The following is a 25,778-nucleotide window of genomic DNA, read 5'->3' on the forward strand; positions in this document are numbered from 1 at the left end:
TTTAGGATTGGCTAGTCTGAATAATTTAAGCAGCCTTGGGGCATAGGGGCTGTCCCTAGTTGCCTGGTACCTGGCCTTGGGGTGATTAGGGCAGGTGGATAGTGACCCAGGGTGTGAGAGCCCTATATAGGACATGGTTGGGAGGTATTGTATCCCCGTTGATTTGTTTGCATTTGAAAAGCACGCTCCAGGGCAAGGTGTTTACTATTTCTAAGAATTGCCTTACCAGGCCTGGGAGGAGCAAGCCTTCCAGGGTCAGCAAGGCCCAGGATGTCAAAGCATCACGACACAGAAAATAAAAGACATGCTTAATAGATCTTTATGTCCACCACGGAGGGCATGTGACGCTAGAGATGACAAAGATGGTCTTTTCCAATTTATCTGTCTTTCTGGTGCCAGGCACAGGGCTTAGAGCATCATATGTGCTCCAGAAGCGTTTGTTAACTGGACATCGTGAACATCTGGTTCTGGGTTAGGCAGTGGAGAATAAACAGGAAATGATGACAGAATCCACCGCATATGGAAAATGTTCAACACATATTTGGTGAAAGAATGAATCTATGGATGAAGCCCAGGGACTCCTAGTCAACACATCTCAGAAGAATCATGGAAAAGCCAGAAACTGACAACCACCTTCTGTGCAGCTGTGGATCCCTCCTTTGTATTGCACTGAGTGAGTTTCAGGAGGCTCTGAGTAAGGTTAATGAGTAAGAGTGGCAGAGGATCTGAGAAAGCATATCTTCCAAATCAGAGGCAAACCAGGTCAGAATCAGGAATACAGGGATGACAGTCTGTCAGAGTTGGGGATTACAGCAGGAATCACGCCCTAGAACCGATAGAGTTTTTGCTGATTCAGGACACAGTGGGGAGAAAGGCAGGTTACAAAATAACAATCAAGGTGCCGAGTTTTGAGACATAGTATAACATTCTCCCCTTTTCAGTCCACCATTCTGTGCATTTTGACAAAAGCATGCAACCATGTGATCAACCCAAGAATGAAGATCTAGGACATGTCCAAACCTCCATAAAGTGCCCTCATGCCCTTTTAAAGTTGATCTTCTATAGCCCAAGAGAACCACTGATTGATTTGTTCTCTCTCTAGTTTTCCCTTTTCTATAAAGCCAAAGAAATGGCATTGTATGTAGTCTTTTGAGTATGTCTTCTTTCACTTAGCATAATGTATTTTGAGAGTCATCCATTCTGTGGCACGCATATTATGTTATCAGTACTTAGAACTGTCTTGTTGTCGAGTAGTCTTCCAGTGTAGGTACATACCACAATTTGTTTATCCATTCCCCAGTTGATGGGCATTTGAGATGTTTCCAGTTTTTAGCAATTAAGAACGTTTTGCTGGAAGGTTTCCTGGGAAGAAGGATTTCACTTCTCTTGGGTAAATACCCTGGAGTGCGATTGCTGTATAAGTGTACCTTTAACTTCATGCAAACCTGCCAAATTGTTTTTCAAAGTGTCTTGGCCATTTTATACTTCCATCGACAATGAGAGACAGTTCCTTTTGTTCTTTTTCCAGCACTTGACAGTGAAACAGCAAGGTACCGGTACAAAAACAGACATATAGACCAATGGAACAGAATAGAGATCTCATAAATAAGACTGCACATCTACAGCCATCTGACCCTTGACAAACCTAACAGAAAGAAGCAATGTGGTAAGGATTCCCTATTTAATAAATGGTGCTTGGAGAACTGGCTAGCCATATGTAGTAAACTGAAACCAGACCCCTGTAGTAAACTGAAACCAGACCCCTTCCTTACACTTTATACCAAAATTAACTCAAGACGGATTAAACACTTAAATGTAAAACCCAAAACTATAAAAATCCTAGAAGAAAATCTAGGCAATACCATTCAGGACACAGGCACGGGCAAAGACTTCATGACAAAAACATCAAAAGCAATTGCAACAAAAGCAAAAATTGACAAAGGGGATCTAATGAAACTAAAGAGCTTCTGCAGAGCAAAAGAAACTATCATCAGAGTGAACAGACAACCTACAGAGTGGGTGGAAATTTTTGCAGTCTATCCATCTGACAAAGGTCTAATATCCAGAATCTACAAGGAACTTAAACAAATTTACAAGAAAAAACAAACAACCCCATTAAAAAGTGGGCAAAGAACATGAACAAACACTTTTCAAAAGAAGATATTTATGCGGCCAACAAACATATAAAAAAAAGCTCAACATCACTGATCATTAGACAAATAAAAGTCAAAACCACTGTGAGGTACTATCTCACACCAGTCAGAATGGCGGTTTTTATAAAGTCACGAAACAAAAGATGCTGGCGAGGCTGTGGAGAAATAGGATTGCTTTTAAACTGTTGGTGGGAGTGTAAGTCAGCTCCACCATTGTGGAAGACAGTGTGGTGATTCCTCAAAGACCTAGAAACAGAAATATCATTTGAACCAACAATCCCATTACTGGGTATATACCCAAAGGAATATAAATCATACCATTATAAATATATATGCATGCATATGTTCATTGCTGCCCTATTCACAATACCAAAGGCAATGAATCAACCCAAATGGCCTTCAATAATAGAATGGATACAGAAAATGCGGTACATATACACCACGGAATACTATGTAGCCACAAAAAGGAACAAGATCATTTCCTTTGCAGGGACATGGATGGAGCTGGAAACCATTATCCTCAGCAAACTAATGCAGGAACAGAAAACCAAACACCACATGTTCTCACTTAAAAGGGGTAGCTGAACATCGAGAACACATGGACACAGGGAGGGGAACAACACACAGTGGGGCCTGGTCGGGGGCACCGGGGGAGGGAGAACATCAGAATAAATAGCTAATGCATGCGGGGCTTAATTCCTAGGTGATGGGCTGATAGGTGCAGCAAACCATGACACACGTTTGTCTATATAACAAACCTGCACGTCATGCACATGTATCCTGGAACTTAAAACAAAATGAAATAAAATTTAAAAACACCTGAAGATTTTTTTAAAAAAGAAAAAGTTTTAGGCCTAAAAATGACATTAACTTCATCAAAGTAGAAATCCAACAGGTCATTTTTTTTTTTATTATACTTTAAGTTTTAGGGTGCATGTGCACAACGTGCAGGTGTGTTACATATGTATACATGTGCCATGTTGGTGTCCTGCACCCATTAACTCGTCATTTAACATTAGGTATATCTCCTAATGCTATCCCTCCCCCGTCCCCCCACCACACAACAGGCCCCGGTGTGTGATGTTCCCCTTCCTGTGTCCATGTGTTCTCATTGTTCAATCCCCACCTAAGAGTGAGAACATGCGGTGTTTGGTTTTTTGTCCTTGCGCTAGTTTGCTGAGAATGATGGTTTCCAGCTTCATCCATGTCCCTACAAAGGACATGAACTCATCATTTTTTATGGCTGCATAGTATTCCATGGTGTATATGTGCCACATTTTCTTAATCCAGTCTATCATTGTTGGACGTTTGGGTTGGTTCCAAGTCTTTGCTATTGTGAATAGTGCCGCAATAAACATACGTGTGCATGTGTCTTTACATCAGCATGATTTATAATCCTTTGGGTATATACCCAGTAATGGGATGGCTGGGTCAAATGGTATTTCTAGTTCTAGATCCCTGAGGAATCGCCACACTGACTTCCACAATGGTTGAACTAGTTTACAGTCCCACCAACAGTGTAAAAGTGTTCCTATTTCTCCACATCCTCTCCAGCACCTGTTGTTTCCTGACTTTTGAATGATCGCCATTCTAACTGGTGTGAGATGGTACCTCACTGTGGTTTTGATTTGCATTTCTCTGATGGCCAGTGATGATGAGCATTTTTTCATGTGTCTTTTGGCTGCATAAATGTCTTCTTTTGAGAAGTGTCTGTTCATATCCTTCGCCTACTTGTTGAGGGGGTGGTTTGTTTTTTTCTTGTAAATTTGTTGGAGTTCGTTGTAGATTCTGGATATTAGCCCTTTGTCAGATGAGTAGATTGCAAAATTTTCCTCCCATTCTGTAGGTTGCCTGTTCACTCTGACGGTAGTTTCTTTTGCTGTGCAGAAGCTCTTTAGTTTAATTAGATCCCATTTGTCAATTTTGGCTTTTGTTGCCATTGCTTTTGGTGTTTTGGACATGAAGTCCTTGCCCATGCCTATGTCCTGAATGGTATTGCCTAGGTTTTCTTCTAGGGTTTCTATGGTTTTAGGTCTAACATTTAAGTCTTCAATCCATCTTGAATTAATTTTTGTATAAGGTGTAAGGAAGGGATCCAGTTTCAGCTTTCTACATACGGCTAGCCAGTTTTCCCAGCACCATTTCCAAAATAGGGAATCCTTTCCCCATTTCTTGTTTTTCTCAGGTTTGTCAAAGATCAGATAGTTGTAGATATGTGGCATTATATCTGAGGGCTCTGTTCTGTTCCGTTGGTCTATATCTCTGTTTTGGTACCGGTACCATGCTGTTTTGGTTACTGTAGCCTTGTAGTATAGTTTGAAGTCAGGTAGAGTGATGCCTCCAGCTTTGTTCTTTTGGCTTAGGATTGACTTGGCAATGCGGGCTCTTTTTTGGTTCCATATGAACTTTACAGTAGTTTTTTCCAATTCTGTGAAGAAAGTCATTGGTAGCTTGATGGGGATGGCATTGAATCTATAAATTACCTTGGGCAGTATGGTCATTTTCACGATATTGATTCTTCCTACCCATGAGCATGGAATGTTCTTCCATTTGTTTGTATCCTCTTTTATTTCATTGAGCAGTGGTTTGTAGTTCTCCTTGAAGAGGTCCTTCACGTTCCTTGTAAATTGGATTCCTAGGTATTTTATTCTCTTTGAAGCAACTGTGAGTGGGAGTTCACTCATGATTTGGCTCTCCGTTTGTCTGTTATTGGGGTATAGGAATGCTTGTGATTTTTGCACATTGATTTTGTATCCTGACACTTTGCTGCAGTTGCTTATCAGCTTAAGGAGATCTGGGGCTGAGACGATGGGGTTTTCTAGATATACAATCATGTCATCTGCAAACAGGGACAATTTGACTTCCTCTTTTCCTAACTGAATACACGTTATTTCCTTCTCCTGCCTGATTGCCCTGGCCAGAACTTCCAACACTATGTTGAATAGGAGTGGTGAGAGAGGGCATCCCTGTCTTGTGCCAGTTTTCAAAGGGAATGCTTCTAGTTTTTGCCCATTCAGTATGATATTGGCTGTGGGTTTGTCATAGATAGCTCTTATTATTTTGAAATACGTCCCATCAATACCTAATTTATGGAGAGTTTTTAGCTTGAAGGGTTGCTGAATTTTGTCAAAGGCCTTTTCTGCATCTATTGAGATGATCATATGGTTTTTGTCTTTGGTTCTGTTTATATGCTGGATTACGTTTATTGATTTGTGTATGTTGAACCAGCCTTGCATCCCAGGGATGAAGCCCACTTGATCATGGTGGATAAGCTTTTTGATGTGCTGCTGGATTTGGTTTGCCAGTATTTTATTGAGGATTTTTGCATCGATGTTCATCAGGGATATTGGTCTAGAATTCTCTTTTTTTGCTGTGTCTCTGCCAGGCTTTGGTATCAGGATGATGCTGTCCTCATAAAATGAGTTAGGGAGGATTCCCTCTTTTTCTATTGCTTGGAATAGTTTCAGAAGGAATGGTACCAGCTCCTCCTTCTACCTCTGGTAGAATTCGGGGGCGTGAATCCATCTGGTCCTGGACTTTTTTTGTTTGGTAAGCTATTAATTATTGCCTCACTTTCAGAGCCTGTTATTGGTCTATTCAGATATTCAACTTCTTCCCAGGTTTAGTCTTGGGCGAGTGTATGTGTCGAGGAATTTATCCATTTCTTCTAGATTTACAAGTTTATTTGCATAGAGGTGTTTATAGTATTCTCTGATGGTAGTTTGTATTTCTGTGGGATCAGTAGTGATATCCCCTTTATCATTTTTTATTGCATCTATTTGATTCTTCTCTCTTTTCTTCTTTATTAGTCTTGCTAGCGGTCTATCAATTTTGTTGATCTTTTCAAAAAACCAGCTCCTGGATTCATTGATTTTTTGAAGGGTTTTTTGTGTCTCTATCCCCTTCAGTTCTGCTCTGATCTTAGTTATTTCTTGCCTTCTGCTAGCTTTTGAATGTGATTGCTCTTGCTTCTCTAGTTCTCTTAATTGTGATGTTAGGGTGTCAATTTTAGATCTTTCCTGCTTTCTCTTGTGGGCATTTAGTGCTATAAATTTCCCTCTACGCACTGCTTTGAATGTGTCCCAGAGATTCTGGTATGTTGTGTCTTTGTTCTCGTTGGTTTCAAAGAACATCTTTATTTCTGCCTTCATTTCCTTATGTACCCAGTAGTCATTCAGGAGCAGGTTGTTCAGTTTCCATGTAGTTGAGCGGTTTTGAGTGAGTTTCTTAATCCTGAGTTCTAGTTTGATTGCACTGTGGTCTGAGAGACAGTTTGTTAGAATTTCTGTTCTTTTACATTTGCTGAGGAGTGCTTTACTTCCAACTATGTGGTCAATTTTGGAATAGGTGTGGTGTGGTGCTGAAAAGAATGTATATTCTGTTGATTTCGGGTGGAGAGTTCTATACATGTCTATTAGGTCCACTTGGTGCAGAGCTGAGTTCAATTCCTGGATATCCTTGTGAACTTTCTGTCTCATTGATCTGTCCAATGTTGACAGTGGGGTGTTAAAGTCTCCCATTATTATTCTGTGGGAGTCTAAGTCTCTTTGTAGGTCTCTAAGGACTTGCTTTATGAATCTGGGTGCTCCTGCATTGGGTGCATATATATTTAGGATAGTTAGCTCTTCTTGTTGAATTGATCCCTTTACCATTATGTAAGGGCCTTCTTTGTCTCTTTTGATCTTTGTTGGTTTAAAGTCTGTTTTATCAGAGACTAGGATTGCAACCCCTGCCTTTTTTTGTTTTCCGTTTGCTTGGTAGATCTTCCTCCATCCCTTTATTTTGAGCCTATGTGTGTCTCTGCACGTGAGACGGGTTTCCTGAATACAGCACACTGATGGGTCTTGACTCTTTACCCAATTTGCCAGTCTGTGCCTTTTAATTGGAGCCTTTAGCCCATTTACATTTAAGGTTAATATTGTAATGTGTGAATCCGATCCTGTCATTATGATGTTAGCTGGTTATTTTGCTCGTTAGTTGATGCAGTTTCTTCCTAGCCTCGATGGTCTTTACACTTTGGCATGTTTTTGCAGTGGCTGGTACCGGTTGTTCCTTTCCATGTTTAGTGCTTCCTTCAGAAGCTCTGTTAGGGCAGGCCTGGTGGTGACAAAATCCCTCAGCATTTGCTTGTCTGTAAAGTATTTTATTTCTCCTTCACTTATGAAGCTTAGTTTGGCTGGATATGACATTCTGGGTTGAAAATTCTTTTCCTTAAGAATGTTGAATATTGGCCCCCACTCTCTTCTGGCTTGTAGAGTTTCTGCCGAGAGATCCGCTGTTAGTCTGATGGGCTTCCCTTTGTGGGTAACCCGACCTTTCTCTCTGGCTGCCCTTAACATTTTTTCCTTCATTTCCACTTTGGTGAATCTGACAATTATGTGTCCTGGAGTTGCTCTTCTCGAGGAGTATCTTTGTGGTGTTCTCTGTATTTCCTGAATCTGAATGTTGGCCTGCCTATTTTTAAAGCACTGTGAAGTGAAAGTAGAAATGTCAATGAAAGTGAAATTAACAATAAGTAGCCACATACAATTTTTTTTTTGAGACAAAGAGTCTCACTCTGTTGCCCAGGCTGGGGTGCAATGGCATGATCTCGGCTCACTGCAACCTCCGCCTACCGGGTTTCAAGCAATTGTCCTGCCGCAGCCTCCTGAGTAGCTGGGACTATAGGCGCCCGCCACCACAACTGACTAATTTGTTTTTTGTTTTTTTTTTTTTTTAGTAGAGACAGGGTTTCACCATGTTAGCCAGGCTGGTCTCGAACTCCTGATCTCAAGTGATCCGCCTGCCTCAGCTTTCCAAAGTGCTGGGATTACAGGCGTGAGCCACCGTGCCTGGCCGCCACATACAAATTTTACTTAAGATCAATGTAAATAACTATTGGATTAATAAAAAAAAAATTCAAATTAAGAATATTTTACAAAGTCACAATAATTTAGAGGAAGTCTTGTGACTGGAGTCAAGGGACTTGAATTTATCTAACTGCTTCTACCATTACTAGCTTAATGTTACAGAAAAACATCAATTCTGGCCTTGTCCACTACTATGCACTAAAACAGAAGCTATTGTTTCAGAAAAGTGCTCAAAACATAAAAATGTCTTCAAATATTCATAAAGTAATCACATTCTAAAAATAATTATACCATATGTTATGCCAGAGAAGTTGGTGACATTCCAAATAAAATTAAATCCAGAATTTCTCATGGAAAAAAAAAGAGTAGTATGAACAGTTCTTGCCTTCTTCTCATCTTATTAATTGTGATATGGAGTAGACATTTTTTCCCGTGACTTGGCAAATTTTGTTTCTCAGTTTTGAGTGTTGATCAGCTTCCACAACTTTATTCTTTGTTCTTTCTGTGTCATGAATATCTCCAAGGAATCCTGTAGTGTAAAGTTTTTTGCAAGTGTCACTTTCACTGGGATATCTTAATCCTTTCCATCAAAACCGTTTTGCAATTTCCACTTCCAGCATTATTTCTTGTCATTTGTTTGCATGTTTCTGTCTTTGTTGGCCAATTACCTTTTTAAACTATCCAGTTCTTTGGTAAAATGTCATATGAGTAGTTCACTGGGAGACAAGGAGGAAACTCAGCTTCATTCTTTGCTGTTGATGCATGAAATAAATAATAGATACTCAGTGACCAAACATGATTAGATTTTAAAAGAAAAGTGACATGACTGGTCACTGATCCTGATGCTCATCTATTATTTAAATAGTGATTTGTGGAGCGACACAAACAGAATTTGAAAGAAGTGACATGACTGGCCACTGATCATGATTCTCATCTGTTATTTCAGTAGCGATTTGTGGACTGAAGAACCAGCAGCAATGTTTGGTCTTTATGTAGTTACTGACAGTTAGTTTACCATGGTAACTGAAATTTGACCCATACTGTGAAGGGACTAGTGTTATTTAACTAAATCACGGTGAATGACCTTAGTGCATATCAGAACTGTGCAAAGGGAGGACTGTATATAAAAATAGAGTTGACCTACTTTTAATATTGACCTGGTATACGGCAACCTAGGCACACTCACTCATTAGTTCTAGGAGGTTTTTCATAAATTCCCAGAAATTTTATACATAGCCACCATGTCAGTAAATAGGGACACTTTTTCATGACTTCATTTCCAATCTGTGTGCCTTTTAGTGCTTTCCTTTGCTTTATTGTACCGGTTGGGTCTTCCAAGGAGGTATTCAATAGGAATGCTGAGAGTGATTGTCTTTGCCGCAGTGCTATCATTTCAACATGTTGAACAATATAAACACATTAGTACTCTGTCTTCTTTTTTTACTGTCTTTGACCTGCAGTAACTTATCATTTCAACACGTAAACAATACAAATAAGTTATTAGTTAGTTATTCTACATTTTTTGTTTCTCACTAAGTCTTGAATATACCGTGTGCGTTTTACAGTTATCGTACATCACATTTTGGAGTAGCCAAATTTCTAGTGCTCAGTAGCCACATGTGGCTAGTGTTTACTATACTGAATAGTGCAACTCTAGGGGAGGAGCAGAGGGAGCAAATACATATGGAATGATGTGTACCATGAAGGAAATGTACATGGTACATTTAAAAACAGCATGGTGAAGTAAGGGAAGTAATGGGAGAGAAGTGGGGTAAGTAAGGAGAGGGAAGTAAGAGAAAAACCTCTCGGAGGACGTAACATCTAAGCTACGGCCTGAGTCTTGATGAGCTATCCAACAGCATAAAGAGGCCAATGTGGATTGAGCAGAGTATGCAAGGGGCAAAGCAAAAAAAAAAAAAAAAAAAAAAAAAAAAAAAAATTCTGGGCCATAGATGGGCAAAATAACTTTCCCAAATCCCCTAAGAAAAGAGCGGGGAAACAGACAAAACATAGGAAGATCTGTACTGTGAGTGACTTGGTGTAGGGTCTTGTTTGCCTATTCATTCTTAGCACCGGGAACAGTACCTAGCTAATAACAGATCTTTGGTGAATCTGTGTGAAATAAGGGCAAACTGAACCCCAGGCTTCTGAGACCTAGGAAAGGAGATAGCAATATACTGATAAAGACACCAGTAGGTAGTGGGGATAGTTTGTTTCTTGTTGTTCTTGTTTTTCATTTTAATTGCCAATGGTTTGTCATAAGCAACCTAAGGCAATCATGAATACAGGAAGATTAAAGGACCTCAGTGAGTAATATTATTGGCTTCAGTAACCAGCACCTACTCCAGAAAAACATCCAGGAAAGGTTTCAACTGTCCTGACTTGCGTCAAGTACCCATAAGTGAACCGATCAGTGTGGACAGGGAAATGGTGTGCCACGACTGGGTCAGCCCATGTCACGTACCCAACACTGTGGTCAGTAACAAGAAGGAGGACGTAGAGGACAATGGGCAAGAGACCCACAAGACTTCGTAAAGTCTGCTGTTTCCTTCTTAGAGTTTTTCTTTTATGGAGGTCAGTTACATATCCAATCTTCCTAACACCAGTTTCCTGGAATAGCAGAATGGCACATTATGTGTCTTTACAAATTGGGCTTCAGGCAAGAACACTCAGTATTTTAGTGGCCACACATCAGTGATGAAACAACTCCTTGTCCTGTGAAGATCACTGAGAATGGGTGGTCTAGTTCATGTCGTTCTGTGGTACTGCCTGCAGCATCACCTTCAATGAGGCCTGCACTTTAGCAAGCTTGTATGTCCAAACTGCCATGTGATTGCCATTGTTCATAGCAATGGACAGGGACAGGATAAATCACATGCTTCAGCTCCATCAACGCTGTTAAGTGCTGCAGAAGACTCGTGAGCACAGGCATTGTAATGGGGTTGAAGACAAAGCTAGGGACACAGAGGTGGGAACAGTGGCTCAGGGCTGGGATGACAACAGAGAAAGTAGAATCAGTTATCAGGCAGTTGTCTATCTCCAGATGCTGCAGGGTCCCTGAGACCGTCTCCAGCAGAGCCTGGAATGGCTCAGAAACTTCCCAGGATATCTGATTGTTACTCAGACTCAACAGTCTTAGGTGGGTAACCTCAGAGCTCTGGGATAGGACAGTGATGTCTCTCTGGTAGAAAGTCCACAGAAAGACACATACAGTGTGTACAAATGAGATGGCAGGGCTCTGTAGAGAGAAAAAAGGAAGGCATTTCTGAAGAATGAGGGTTGGATTAGAGCAAGCAGCCCTGAATTATAGATACTTATGACTCTAGAATAAAGTAATCTGTATATCCATTGCAACAGCAGTTAACACTGTGGACTTTACAGTCAGACTTAATAGATTTGTGACCCTAAGAAAGTTACTTTTCCACGCTGAGATACAGTTTTTTAATCTTTCAAATGTGCACAATAGCAATTATTATAGAGGGTTGTGGGACAGATTAAGGGAAAAAGAATTTAACTTAGTGCCTACAGTATAATTAGCAGTGTATCTAGTTCAGTTATTTGATGGGGATGGGTCTGGGAAAGCAGCCGACTGAGAATTCCCTTTGACGAATTTCCAAATGACAGGTTCTCCATTCAGGTCCTAAGCCTCGGGAAAACTACAGGAACAAAACGATCTGGCGGTATTACCTATTGTGACCAGCCCATGGGGATGTGCATCAGTGCTACAGCGTCAGTTATTTCTCCGACTGAATGCCTCCCCTTCCTCTCTAGAAGGCTACACACTCCAATAAAAGCAGGACTGTTGTCTTTTTCGCCAATATGTCGACAGACTTATCTTAGTGTCTGCACGTCTGCACATGGTTGATTGACTGACTGACTGACTGACTGACTGGGCACAGCTGACTTTTCTAATCCTGTCTTTCTCCTCAGCATGAGGGACCACACTCTCTAGCTTGGCCAGTTTAAAACACCCAGCAGTGCCCGTGCTGATGTGGAAGGAGAAATAGGTTACAAAGTGTTTAAGAATATCTAAGAATAGTCGCACTCTTTTGTTCGTAATGGGGCATTCAGGGAACCCAGGTCCCTCCCCAACCTCTCACCCGGAAATTTTGTCCAGCTGATCTGTGAGGCAGAAGCAAGACAAGCTGAGTTCCTGGAGGTTGTTCATCTGCTCATGATGAGTGAAAAAAGTTGAGAAGTTTCTCCCCTTACAGGATTTTAAAAGGATTTTAGATAGACTAAGTCTGTCCTGGTGGATCTTCTGTGCCAAAAGGGTGCTGACTTCACTCAAACAAGCCTGACCTACTTCCAGGTGATCAGTGCATCCCAGATCCAGAAACTACAGGACGCTTTTGTGGGCAGACACTTGATGAATTTGCAAATCTCTGCAGCAGAGATGCAAAGACCCAAGGCTCTGCTCAACTTTACTCGAAAGGAAAGAAAAGAGTTGCCTTGTTCTCAAGGTACCATCAAGGGAAATGTCCACTAACAATCCCATGCGTTCCCTGGATGGGCCGAGACTCAGACTCTAAATGTACAATTTCCAGGCACCTAACACTTCGCTTGGCTTCTTCTATTTTCAGGATAGAGTGCTGAGAGTAAACGCAAGACTGAAAACAAAATGGGAATGTGCTCCTGATCTCAGAGCATGTGGTTCTGCTGTCTGGGTCCTGCTTTAAATCCAGGACCCTCCGTTTTGGCCGTCTGCAGGAAGAGGAAGAGACAGAATATGAAAGGTGGCTGATTTTAATATAACCCAGCAACATCAATGAGGGGAAGGAGGGGCAAACCCTTTATCTTTGCTCTTCACTCTGTAAACAATCTACCAACAAATATTTTTTTGTACAAACTCAACATCTTTTATTGTTTTTCCCATCCTTCCTTCTCCTCCGATCCTCCCCAGTCTGGTGTCCATGTTGTTCTTCTATGTAATCATACCCAGTAGGTGAATCCATCAATAGTACTCTCAATCACCTCTATTCCATAATCACCTCTGTAAGACATTAGAGTCCTTAAGGTGACCCCAAGTGTTGGACCAACAACCTCACAGAGATCCTCAGCATTCACCGTCAACCACCTTTGGGAGACTGTTAGGCCACCCCCTGCCTCAGGCTGCAGCATACCCTCCTGATGACTCACTATGTCTCTAGTGTACATAGGGTTACCGAGGGGAAGAGCTCTGGGCAGGGAGGATCTGCAGGACCATCAATCGTGGCTCCCAAGATTTCATAGTGTGACTCCCTTACACTCAACGGTCCAACATGGAGACAACGGGAGGGCCAAATCCTCACCATGGCCTTTAGTTTCATCTTCTGCCCACCCAAGAAGGCAGTGATGAACAATGGAACAAAGAGGTCTCATGGGAGCTCCTCAAGAGCATGGATAGCTGCAGGCTCATCACTCAGCAGACTCCATGCAGCGAGCTCTAGCAGTGTGGCTGGCACCTTTTGGTCCATTGACATGAACCTGCTTTAGGGTGAGGAACATTAACAAATCCTGAGAAGATTTTCACAGTCTCTTGCCTGCCACCAAAGATAGCAATAAATGAAATATGTATTGAACAAATATATGGTAAATCAAACGACCACTTCAAGAGACCTCTACTATAGACATGGAATACAAATAGACTTGTATGTGTGTATAAATGTCTGTGTTGGTGTGTGTGTGTGTGTGTGTGTGTGTGTGTGTGTGTGTGTGGTGTCTGTCTGTCTGTGTGTGTATACACACACATATGTATTTAGATAAGATAAAATGCCATTTGAAATCAGCTGTAAGTCAGCATAAGGCAATGTCGACCACCCAGGCACCTGCCTCCCAATGTTTCATGTCAAAAGGATATAAACCAATCAGAAAGGAAGATGTAAATCTATACAGAAGCCACATCCTCATCGTTACTTAGAAACAGATAATGCCAAATCTTTAGTAGTGAGTAAAAGGAGAAAAGGCATGAAATCCCAGCACAAGATCTGTCATGCTCTCATCACTAGTCTTTGTGGCAAGCAAAGACAGACCAAGAAAAGCTGCAAGAGACACAGAGAAAGGAAGAGGCAAGGGACTTAAAGTTGGTCCGAAACTACAGTTAAAATGACTGAGCCCAGACTAAGTCTAAAAAAATACCAAAAAGGTGTCCCAGATAATAAGAGCAGGGACTACAGGGAAGGACCTCTAAAATACGTGTAATTTAAAGGGGTAGAGATGATCTTAGAATGTAGTCTTTGGGTTGGGTGCAGTGGCTCATGCCTGTAATCCCATCACTTTGGGAGGCCCGAGGCAGGAGGACCACTGAGCCCAGGAGTTTCAGACCAGCCTAGGCAATATAGTGAGACCTCGTCTCTACGAAAACTTAAAACAGTGGCCAAGTGTGGTGGTGTGCGCCTGTGGTCCCAGCTACTCGGGAGGCTGAGGTGGGAGGATCGCTGGAGCCCAGGAGGCAGAAGTTGCAGTGAGCCGAGATCACACCCCTGCACTCCAGCCTGGGAGACAGAGCGAGACTCTATCTCAAATTAAAATAAAATAAAATAAAAGTAGCCTTTGAAATCCACAGCTTCTGGGTAAGAGTAAGGGCAAACAGAAAGGGAGAAGCATGCTTTGCCACTTTGGTAATGATGGGGAAAAGAAACAAAAGGGGAAAATGAAGAATCTTGCAAGACATAAGAGAACCACAGAATCAGAGCACTCATAACTTCTTTGTCCGCTACCAAAACAAGCAAACGAAATCAGTAAATTTCAGGCCTGAATTTTTCTACACTGACAGAAAATAGCACCTGTAAAATAGGAATCTGGTAAAACAATCCAATATCATAAAAATGAACAAAAGGAAGGATAATTCCTTACAAAAACATTCCAGAAAGAGAAAAAGAGCAGAAGACAAAATTTCACACATATTAAACAACCATGAAACAGAAGGAAACTGTACGTCAACCCTGCAAACAGAATTAATTCCATTCAAACAAGCATTTGAGGATATAAAACCTGCCTTGAATTAGAATATTACTTAAAACTCTAAACTCAGAAATGGGCTGAGAAAAACGTCTGAAGTACTGATTTGATATCCAGCTCAGCCGATCCTTCACTAATATCACAGCTTATAGAAAAACAGACAGGAACTTAGGAAATTATGTACCCATCAGCCCTTCCTGAGGACTCCACTAGAGCAAGGGTCTGCAAACTATGGCCCACTGGTTGGAATATTTACCATATGGCTCTTTACAGAAAACGTTTGCTAACTTATATTCTAAAGGGTAAACTGGGATTGTGATTCCACAGGTAACGACAGGAAAATCTTCCCTACAACATCTGATGGCAAGCATTTGGTATCTAATACTAAAATGAAGGTGAAGCAAGGAAAATGACTAACGTGCATTTATTTTATATTGTGGAAAAAAAGAAATAGTGCAAGTAAAATAAGAGAAGTGAGAGAGATAGAAAGAAAAAGAGAATAAACTTTTTTTTTTTCATAAGGCAGTAGATGAGTGTTAAAAGGAGACTGGGGGTTAAAAACAAACTAGTGGACCAGATAGTAAAATGTTCAATAAGAAAGCAGGTGCTAAAAGTAATTTTTTTAATGACAAAGTTTACATGCTAACATTAAAATTGAAAATTCACAGTGAATATATAATACTTAGGAATACTTATGCACCAAATAACATAGGAACCACCTTTGTAATGCCAAAAGGTATGGAGACATTGAAGCACAGTAATAATAGGAGATTTAATACATGGCAAGTCTCAGTACAAGGCAAATCCAGTGGTACAATAAAGAGACCTATACCGAAAATGTAAACAACACAATAAGATACATTGTGTGTGTGTATACACACATAGGCATACATACACACACATAAATCTACACCTTGGAGATAAAGAATATACCACCTTGTCAAAAGCTGATGGCACGTTAACAAAACGTGATCATAATTACCTCACAGTGAAGGCCTCGCTAATTTCCATAAAGTAGAAATATTACAACCAACCCTCTGCAATCACGATGCAACAAAAGTAGAACTTACTAACACAAACTGAAAGCACAAAGGCTCTTCTACCTGGAAAAAATGTTCAGTCTTCTATTAAGCAAATGTCGAGATAAAGACGAGATACCAACTGAAGTTACAGAAATATTTAAGAAGAGTGATTATAAGAGCTTACATATGAGACTCTGTAGAAGATAGTTAAAGCAGTGATTGGAAGCAGATTCAGAGCGCTAAATACTCTCATCAATGAAAATGAACGAATAAAATTAGACAAATTAAAGCACTGCCTCAAAAATCTAATAAAAGAACAACCCGGGAAACCAAAAGAAACACAAATAAAGAAATAACATAAAAGCAGAAATTGCCGGGCTTGGTGGCTCACACCTGTAATCCAACCACTTTGAGAGGCTGAGGCGGGAGGATCACTTGAGGCCAGGCGTTTGAGACCAGCCTGGGCAACATAAGGAGACCCTGCCTCTACAGTAATAATAATAATAATAATGATTCTTTAGCAGGGCGTGATGGAACATGCCTGTAGTCCTACTTACTGAGGAGGCGGAGGTGGGAAGATTGCTTGAGCCCAGGAGCTCAAGGCTGCAGTGAGCTGTGATCACAACGCTGCACTCCAGACTGAGTGATCCAGGGAGATTCGGTCATTAAAATGAATGAATGAATGAATGAATGAATGAATACATAAGCAGATGTTAATAAGATACATAGTAGAAAAACAATGTGTGTATATTTATTAAATCAAAATCCTGGTTTTTTTTTTAATGGACAAACTCACTAGGCAGATTAATGAAGGAAGAAAGGGAGAGAGCACAAATATACAAAATAATAAACGACAAATGATAATCATTTAAACAGAAAAAATTAGGTTGCTTTTCAAACCTGTGTATAAAGAAATTAAAAATACACATGAAATAAATAATTTCCTAGGAAAATACAGATTATCAAGATTTTTACTCTAATGCTGGAAGGCTTAACTTGGCCAATTTTTACAGAAAAAAATGGAAAAAGTTATTAAGGAATAACTCCCAAGAAGCACCTGGCTCAGATGCTATTACAGGTCAATTCTACTAAACCTTCAAAGATCAGATAGTACCAGAGTGCCAATGCTCTATAAATTATTCAACAGCATTATAAAGGAAATTTTCATAACTTCCTTTATGAAGCAAGTGTGACATGGATAGATAAGTGTAGATGCAAAAATGCTAGATAAAATATTAGCAAACAACATATTTAAAAAATCATAATATACTTTGGCAAAGTGGGATTTATCCCATCAATACAGATTGGCTCAATATTAGAAAGTACCTTGATATCATCCACCATATTAATATACTTAAAGACAAATATCATATGGTTATCACCACAGATGTTGAAAAAGCCTTTGGAAAAATTCAACACCTCTTTATGTTAAAAAATAGAAAAGCCTTAAGAAAATAGGCACCACAGGATGCTTTCTTAACATGATAAAACATATATACCTAAGTCCTAATGCTAGTAACTTATTTAATGGGGTGGGGGGGCACTCGAAGCTTTCCCTTGGGATCAGGAACAAGGAAAGCATGCCTACTACCTCACACCTATTCAATCTTGCATTACAAGTATTAGTCAACTGAGCAGAGAAATAGATCATTTTCCTAGGAATGAATAAGAAGAACTAAAAAGCACAGCAAAGGGAACAATCAACAAAATGAAATGGCAACTTACACATTGAGAGCAAATACTTGCAAAACATATATATGAATAAGGGGTTAGCATCCAAATTTTGTAAGGAAATCATACAACTCCATAGCAGAAAAACAATCAAATTTAAACAACGGGCAAAGGACCTGAATAGACATTTCTCCAAAGAAGACATACACACTGACTAACAGGTGTATGAAAAAGTGCTCAACATCATTAATCATCAGGAAAATGCAGATAAAAGCTACTATGAGGCAACACCATACAACCATTAGGATAGCTATTATCAAAAAGCCAAGAGATGGCAAACATTGCCGAGTGTGTGGAGAAAAGGGAACCCTTGTACACTGTTGATGGGAATGTAGATAGGGACAATCATTATGGAAAACAGTATGGAGGTACCTAAAGAAATAGATTTTTTTTTCTGTTTTAGTAAATAAAATGGTAGTTCTACATTTTTCTATTTTAGAAAAAAATATGGTAGTGAAAAAGAGAACTATCATATGACCCAGCAACTGCTTTTCTGGGTATCTACTTAAAGGAAATAAAATAACCACCTTTTGAAAGTAGCTGATCTTTGAAAAGTATCTGAACTCCCATGTTCACTGCAGCATTAATCACAATAGCCAAGATATGGAAACAACCTAGGTGTCCATCAAGGGACAGATGGATACAGAAAATGTGTTGTATGTATACACTTTAAAAAGGAGATCTTGCCATTTGCCAAAACATGGATGAATCTGGAGGACATTATGCTATAACAATGAAATAATAGTGAAATAATCCAGATACAGAAAGAGAAATATTGCATGATCTCACTTATATGTGGAATCTTAAAAAAATAAAAGTAAAACAAAACTCAAATATACAGAGATACAGAATAAAGCAGTGGTTATCAGGGTCGGGGTGGGGAGGAGGGGATGGGAGGAGGAAAGCGGGAGATGTAGGTCAGAGGATGCAAAGTAGCAGATATGTAGGATGAAAGAGACTAGAGATCTAGTGCACAACATGCTGGAATACAGTTTGTACAATTGTACTATTAAGTATGATGCGGGATTTCTGCTAAATGAATAGATTTTAGCGCCTACTGCTACCAAAACCAAAAATGGGTCACTATGTGACATAATGGGTTATGTTAATTTGTTCCACTATAGTAACTATTTTACTATCCATACGTGTCCCATAACACCGTGTTGTATACCTTAGATATACACAATAAAACTTACTTTTTACAAAGAGAAGTAAAGCCATCTCTACATGCAGATGATATTATAGTATACCTGAAAAACCCTATAGAAACGATGATAAATCAACTGAACCAGTAAAAGAAGTCATTAAGGTAGCAAAATATAAAATTAACATACAAAAAATCAGCAGTCTTTTAATACACACACAAAAAATAAGCAGCTGGAGGATACATTCACAGACAAAGCCCCATATACACTAGCAACAAGGATTAAAGTTTAGGAATAAACTTGATAACAACATTTATACAAGAAAAATTTTTAAATATGCCTGAATGACACCACAGAAGACTTGAACAAATGGAAACACATACGCTATCTGAGATGGTCTGAATGTTTGTGTACCCCCAAAATTACTATCTTGAAATTTTTTATTTTTATTTTTATTTTATTTTATTTTATTATTATTACACTTCAAGTTTTAGGGTACATGTGCACAATGTGCAGGTTAGGAAATTTTACCCGCAAGGTGATGCCATTAGGAGGTGGGGCCTTTTGAGAGGCGACTAGGTCATAAGGGTGGAGCCCTTATGAATGGGATTAGTTCTCTCATAAAAGAGGCTTCAGAGAGCTGCCTTGTCCCTTCCACCATGTTGAGGATACAATTAGAAAGTACCATCGATGAGGAAGAGGGTCCTCACCAGACACCAAATCAGCCAGAATCTTTATCTTGGACTTGTCAGTCTCCAGAGCTGCGAGAAATAAATTTCTGTTGTTTATAAACTACCTAGTCTATGGTATTTTGTAATAGCAGCCCAAACAGACTACGTCACTGTCCTAGATGGAATAATCCAGCATTAAAAAGATGTCGGTTCTTCCTAAATTGGTGTATAAATTTAATTCAGTCGCAAAAACGCCAGCACACATTTTTATGCATTTAGGCAAATTGATAATAAAGTTAATATATTTGTGAAAACATGCAAGCATAGCCAGGAAACACGTGAAAAAGAAAATCTATGAGAGGGGACTTATGATATCAGCCAGAAAAGCACACTATAAAGCCTCTGTAATTACGACATTGTGGCACTGGTGCAAGAATAGACTAATAGCCCAGTGGACTAGAATAGAAAACTCAGAAATACAACCAAATCATATGACAGTTAGTACATGATAAAGATGGCACATAAACTCTTTAGGGCAAAGATGGACATTTAATAAATGGTCCTGGAACAACTGAGACGTCTGGAAAAATAAAGGTAGATCCATATAACACAGCATGCACAAGAATAAACTGCAAATGGGTTAGGGATCTAAACATAACAAATGAAACCATGTAAGTTCTTGAAGAAAACATGGCAGTGGCCGGGGGAGGGGGGTGGCTCACGCCTATAATCCCAGCACTTTGGGAGGCTGAAGCGGGTGGATCGCCTGAGGTCCGGAGTTTGAGACCAGCCTGGCCAAAATGGTGAAACCCCGTCTCTACTAAAAATACGAAAATGAGCCAGGCGAGGTGGCGGGCGGCTGTAATCCCAGCTACTCGAGAGGCTGAGACAGGAGAATTGCTTGAACCTGGGAGGCAGAGGTTGCAGTGAGCCGAGATCGCGCCACTGCACTCCAGCCTGGACGACAAAGCGAGACTCCATGTCAACCAAAGAAAAGAAAGAAAAAACAAAACAAAACATGGCAGAACCCCACTGTAGGGAAAAGCTTTCTAACTAGGATTCAAATTCCGGAGGCAATGAAAGAAAAAAATAATCAATCCATTTGACCACATAAGGATAAACGAAAGTGATGCAAATGCATCATAAATAAATCAAAAGGCAACTGACAAATTGATGTAAAGTACTTGCAGCACATATCGCAGACAACTGGATAATATTCCAAATATATAGAGAGCTCTTAAATATTGAGGGATGAAGGACCACAACAGCAATAGAAATATGGGGGAAAGATATGAACAGATAATTCCAACAAAAAGTATAAAAACAGTCCTCAAATATATGGTTAAGTGTCAAAACTTGCTCATAGTTAGACAAAGGTATATTACAGAAACAGCGAGACACCATTTCTCGCCTAACCCGTAGAAAAAAGTTTCAAAAGTAAGGCAACATGTTCTGTTAGTGAGGCTGTGGGGAAATTGTCATTCTCATATATTGCTAATGGAAATGAAAACCAGTACAATCCTTCTGGAGAGAAACTTGGAAACACCTAAGAAAACTACATGTGCACTTAACTTTTGGCCCAATAATCCTACTAGTGGGAATATACCTTGAAGGTACATTTCTACCAATACAAAAAAAAAAAAAAAATCATGTCCAGGGTTATTCGCGGGAGTAATGTCTGTAACTGCAAAATCTTGGAAGGAATTTAAAAGCCCATACAGGCCAGGCACCATGGCTCATGCCTGTAATCTCAGCACTTTGGAGACCAAGGCGGGAGGATCACTGGAGGCCAGGAGATCCAGACCAGTCTGGGCAACATAGCGAGGCCCCATATCGACAAAAAATAAAATAAAAAATAAAAAGTCTTTAATTAGCCAGGCATGGTGGCACACACCTGTAGTCCTAGCCACTTGGGAGGCTGAGGCAGTTGTGAATTGCTTGAGCCCAGGAGTTTGAGGTTACCATGAGCTATGATTGTGCCACTGCACTTCAGTCAGCCTGGGTTATAGAGCGAGACCTGGTTTCTGTATTAAAAACAAAATGCCCAAACATAGGCGAGTGGTTGAATAAACTATGTGTGGCGCAGCCACACAATGGAGTACAATGCAGCTGTAAAAACGAACGATGAAGATCTCTGTGAAACAATATGGAGTGATTTCCAAGAATGCTGTTAAGTAGGAAAGGCAAAGTGCAAAGGAACATGTATAGTATGCTATCCTTCGTGTAAGAAAGGAATATGAGAAAACATGTATGTATCTGCTCATTTGGGCAAAATAAATACAGGAAAGGTTAAACCAGAAACCAAAGGGGCTGATTACCCTACAGGGAGGGCCAGGGAAAGAAGTGGAAAGAAATGGGGAATGGGAACAGGGTAGAAGGGATGACGAAGGAGTGACATTTCTCCGAGTATAGGTTTTTGTATAACCCTGACTCTTTGGATCATAGTAATGATGCACATACCCAAAATATAAATAAAAAATTAAAATCAACCGGGATATTGGGGTGAGGGTACCCCAAATCAAACAGAAACAGGTTCAACTAACAATATTACAAATGAGTGTCTTAACCACGCTGAAGGAGAGAGGAAGAAAAGATCTAAGATACATAACTTTGGAGAGCAGTATTTTGACTATATCCTCTAAGGCCAAAGACAAAAACAACTGTACAAAAATATAAGTTATTAACATGTTTGCAACAGGGGCATTTGTTAGCAATTCAGGCGCTACTTTATGTATCTACTGACCAGAAATAAACAGGTATGTAAACTATTTGATAATGAAAGCCAGGTCGGAGAACGAATCTACAAATAAGTCTAGAATGATTGGAATTGAAAGTATCAATACAAGCTCCTGGCTTTTAATAGCTATGCATACAGATAGATACCAAAATAAATGTGGATGTGTCTATAGGCATGGGTGTATACATACATTATTTCCTAACCCTCTCCATAGAGAGAGCCTTAGCAGCAATGAAACGCCATTAATAATGAACACACACCGAGATACTGGTTGGTAAATATCATTCCCCAAGAAAGGGAACCGGGGCTCCTCGTAGAAGTTGTTTTAATCCAGGGCTATAAGGGGTGTGTGTGTGTGAGGGGAGGGGGGCACACACATGCTGAATCTGAACATCTTATTGTGCCAGAAAAAGGTACCAAAAAAGGATAGGGTCATATCAAAAGACCACAGAACCAACCAAAATGACTTCCCAATGGCCAAGGCTAGAACAGTTCAAAGAACAAAATAATGATATAATTAGATTAAATTTTTATTTTATTTTATTGCAAGTTCCAGGATACATGCGCAGGATGTGCAGGTTCATTACATAGGTAAACCTGCGCCCTGGTGGTTTGCTGCACCCATCAACCCATCACCTAGGTATTAAGCCTGGCATGTATAACATAATTATTCAAGAGCCCATACTGAGATAAATAAATTGAAGAAATAAATGAATGAGGGAGTAAAGATAGCTCTTCCTTACAGAGGAATTCCAATTAATAAATGTAGCAGAAATTAGGAAAACAGAAAATCACCATTAGGTAATATTTGCTGTAGGCAAGATCCCTAGACAGATTTTAACAGTAGTGGGTCAAAGTCTGCGAAGAAACAGGAATATAAGAGGATCTATTGTGTTTCTTCTTAAAGAACTTTTCACACTATATTTATTACTAACAAAGAGGAAAATAGTAGCATTACACTGGGGCAGCATAACTCCCACCACTTTAACCAAGTGATCAAGGTGAGCACCACCAGTAATACAACTTATGGATGTCATGTACCCCTGACATGATCCACATAGAAGGGAACGAAATCACGTTTGCGGTAATGTCGCATAAGACCTAAAATTAGAGGTCCAATTATATGGATGCCTTGACATCTGGGGTAGAACAGGAGGACCCTGAATGGCCTCACCACAAGTTATCTTCCCTATTGGGTTCCCAGGGAGAAAGGCCCCCTGGCCAAAGTACCCTCCTTATTATCATGTTGAACAGACACAGTGCCTGCTTATCTCTGGGTAGCATGTTTCAGGTCCCCACCAGCCTGCAGAATTATTCAAACAAGCCAATCGTCCTACCCTGAACCAACGGTCACTTCATCCTCTGGTTACTACAAAGACTTCCCCCTGAAAGCCCCTGCTTGTTCACTCTCTTCCAGAGTGTGACACTGTGTGGCTCTACCTGGCGTGAGGTGCCCTCCTCTCTCCAGTTGTGAGTAAATGTTACTGATAAATTGCTGTGGATTCCGTCTGTCCAGTATAGGGTACCATGTGTTCAGCCGCCCCCATAACACTAGGGTGGGAATCCCTCCCTCGCCACTGGGAAAGGGAGGAGAATAAAACAGGTGTGCTTGCTACAAATGCACAACTTCAATCTAATCATAAGAAAACATGAGACAAACACAAATTGAGAGACATTCCACAAAATTACCTGACTGGTATCTCCAAAAGTGTCAGGGCTGTGGAAGACCAATAAAGATTGAGGAAATGTCAGCCTGGAGGAGACTAAGGAGAAATGAAGACCAAATGCAATGAAGCGTCCTGGATAAGATCCTAGAATAGAAAAAGGACATCAGTGAGATATCTGGTGAAATTCACATAAAATCTGTAGATTAGTTAATAGTACTACATCAATGCTAACTGTTGGTAATTAACATCGATGTAGTAATGTCAATTAGTGCATCAATGTAATGTAGTAGTTAGTTTTGGTAATTTTTCTATGGTTATATAAGATGTTAACATTAAGGAAATCCAGGCGAGGGCTCTCTGTATAATCATTTTTGTAACTTTTCTGTAAGTCTAAAATTATTTCAGAGTAAAGAATTTTAAAAGACAAAATCAGTGGCTAAAGGGCTGGCAACCTATAAACCACACTGCTTAACAATAACCAATTGAAACATAGTTAGAAGGATGCATACAAAGAGGGATACATGCTCATACCACATGATTCATTAAAAAGATTATAAGAGATGAAAGCCCAGTCATCTTCAACACACAGGTGAATATGTATTTACTCTTCAGATGAGGAAAGCATTTTTAAGCATAAAAGGAATGAAATACAATAGAAAGAAAAATATCTATACAATCCAATATTTACAATTTAAAGCCCGCCATATCAAAATTAACCATAAACAAAACTAAGATGCAAAAGAGAAATATAACTTTCTGAAGAAGAAGAGAAAACCTGCCTGAGAAATTGCAAAGAGAGAACATGAAGTGATTAGCCATACAATTGAACCTAATCACACGTGAAGATAAGGGATACATAGAGAGTGGACTGGAGAGTGGACCACTGAGCAATCCAGCCGGATTTGCCTTTCCTATGAATCCCTAAACCTTGACCCTAGGTAATGTAGGCCAAAAAAGGCCTAGTTTATATAAAATTTATAGAAGGGCCGGGCACGGACGCTCACGCCTGTAATCCCAGCACTTTGGAAGGCCGAGGCGGTGGATCCCCTGAGGTCGGGAGTTGGAGACCAGCCTAACCAATATGGAGAAACCCCCTCTCTACTAAAAATACAAAAATTAGCCTGGCATGATGGCGCATGCCTGTAATCCCAGGTACTTGGGAGTGAGGCAGGAGAATCGCTTGAACCCGGGAGGTGGGGGTTGTGGTGAGCCGAGATCGCGACATTACGCCCCAGCCTGGGCAACAAGAGCCAAACTCCGTCTCAAAAAAAAAAAAAAAAAAAAAAAGGCAAAAAAGAAAAGAAAGGAAATTTATGGAAAAGATATTGTTGTAATTTACCTAATTGGAAGAAGACTTGGAACCAACCTGGGAGCTACACTTCCCCTCAGAATCTTGCCACAAACAAGACGCAATCTTGTGGGTGGGGCCCAGCGTCTTAACGGTTCCTTCTCAAAGCAGTGGGGAGAGGACTTCAATTGGCTCAGCTTGGTCAGGTGACCTCCTTTGACCAATCATCTCCATACTGGGAGGCGGAGCCAGATTCCTGCCCCTCCCCCTCCTGGGGCTCGGGGGACGGGGGGCAGGGAAGGAGAAGGGGTTTCGAGAAACCAAGGGTGGGAGAGCGGGAGGGGCAGGAAGGATTGTGGGACAGGCGGGTGGGAGTGTGTGAGGTGGAAAGGGAGGGGTGTTCTGATTATAAGCCTGCCCCACCCGCTGATTTCGTCTTAGGTGAAAAGTGAGGCACAATGCCATTGTGTATGGCCTGGGCACTGGCCAGCCAGGGTTTCTTTGCTTTCTTTCTTTCTTTTTTTTTCTTTTCTTTTCTTTTCTTTTTTTTTTTTTTTTTTTTTTTTTTTTTGAGAC

The 25,778-nt window shown here is 40.3% G+C and overlaps 1 protein-coding gene across 1 annotated transcript in view; it reads right to left on the bottom strand.

The window, feature by feature from the left end:
* The window catches only part of NXF2B (nuclear RNA export factor 2B), a 79,614-nt gene extending 54,222 nt beyond the window's left edge, over positions 1–25,392 (bottom strand). Inside the window, exons 1-2 of the mRNA NM_001099686.3 lie at positions 25,254–25,392; positions 23,937–24,058 (exon numbers count right to left, since the gene is read on the bottom strand). The gene's annotated coding sequence lies outside the window, so the exon portion shown is untranslated. The remainder of the gene's footprint in view (positions 1–23,936; positions 24,059–25,253) is intronic.
* Between the last annotated feature and the right edge of the window lie 386 nt (positions 25,393–25,778).

The sequence above is a fragment of the Homo sapiens genome, chromosome X (assembly GCF_000001405.40).
Source record: "Homo sapiens chromosome X, GRCh38.p14 Primary Assembly".
Taxonomy (NCBI): domain Eukaryota; kingdom Metazoa; phylum Chordata; class Mammalia; order Primates; family Hominidae; genus Homo; species Homo sapiens.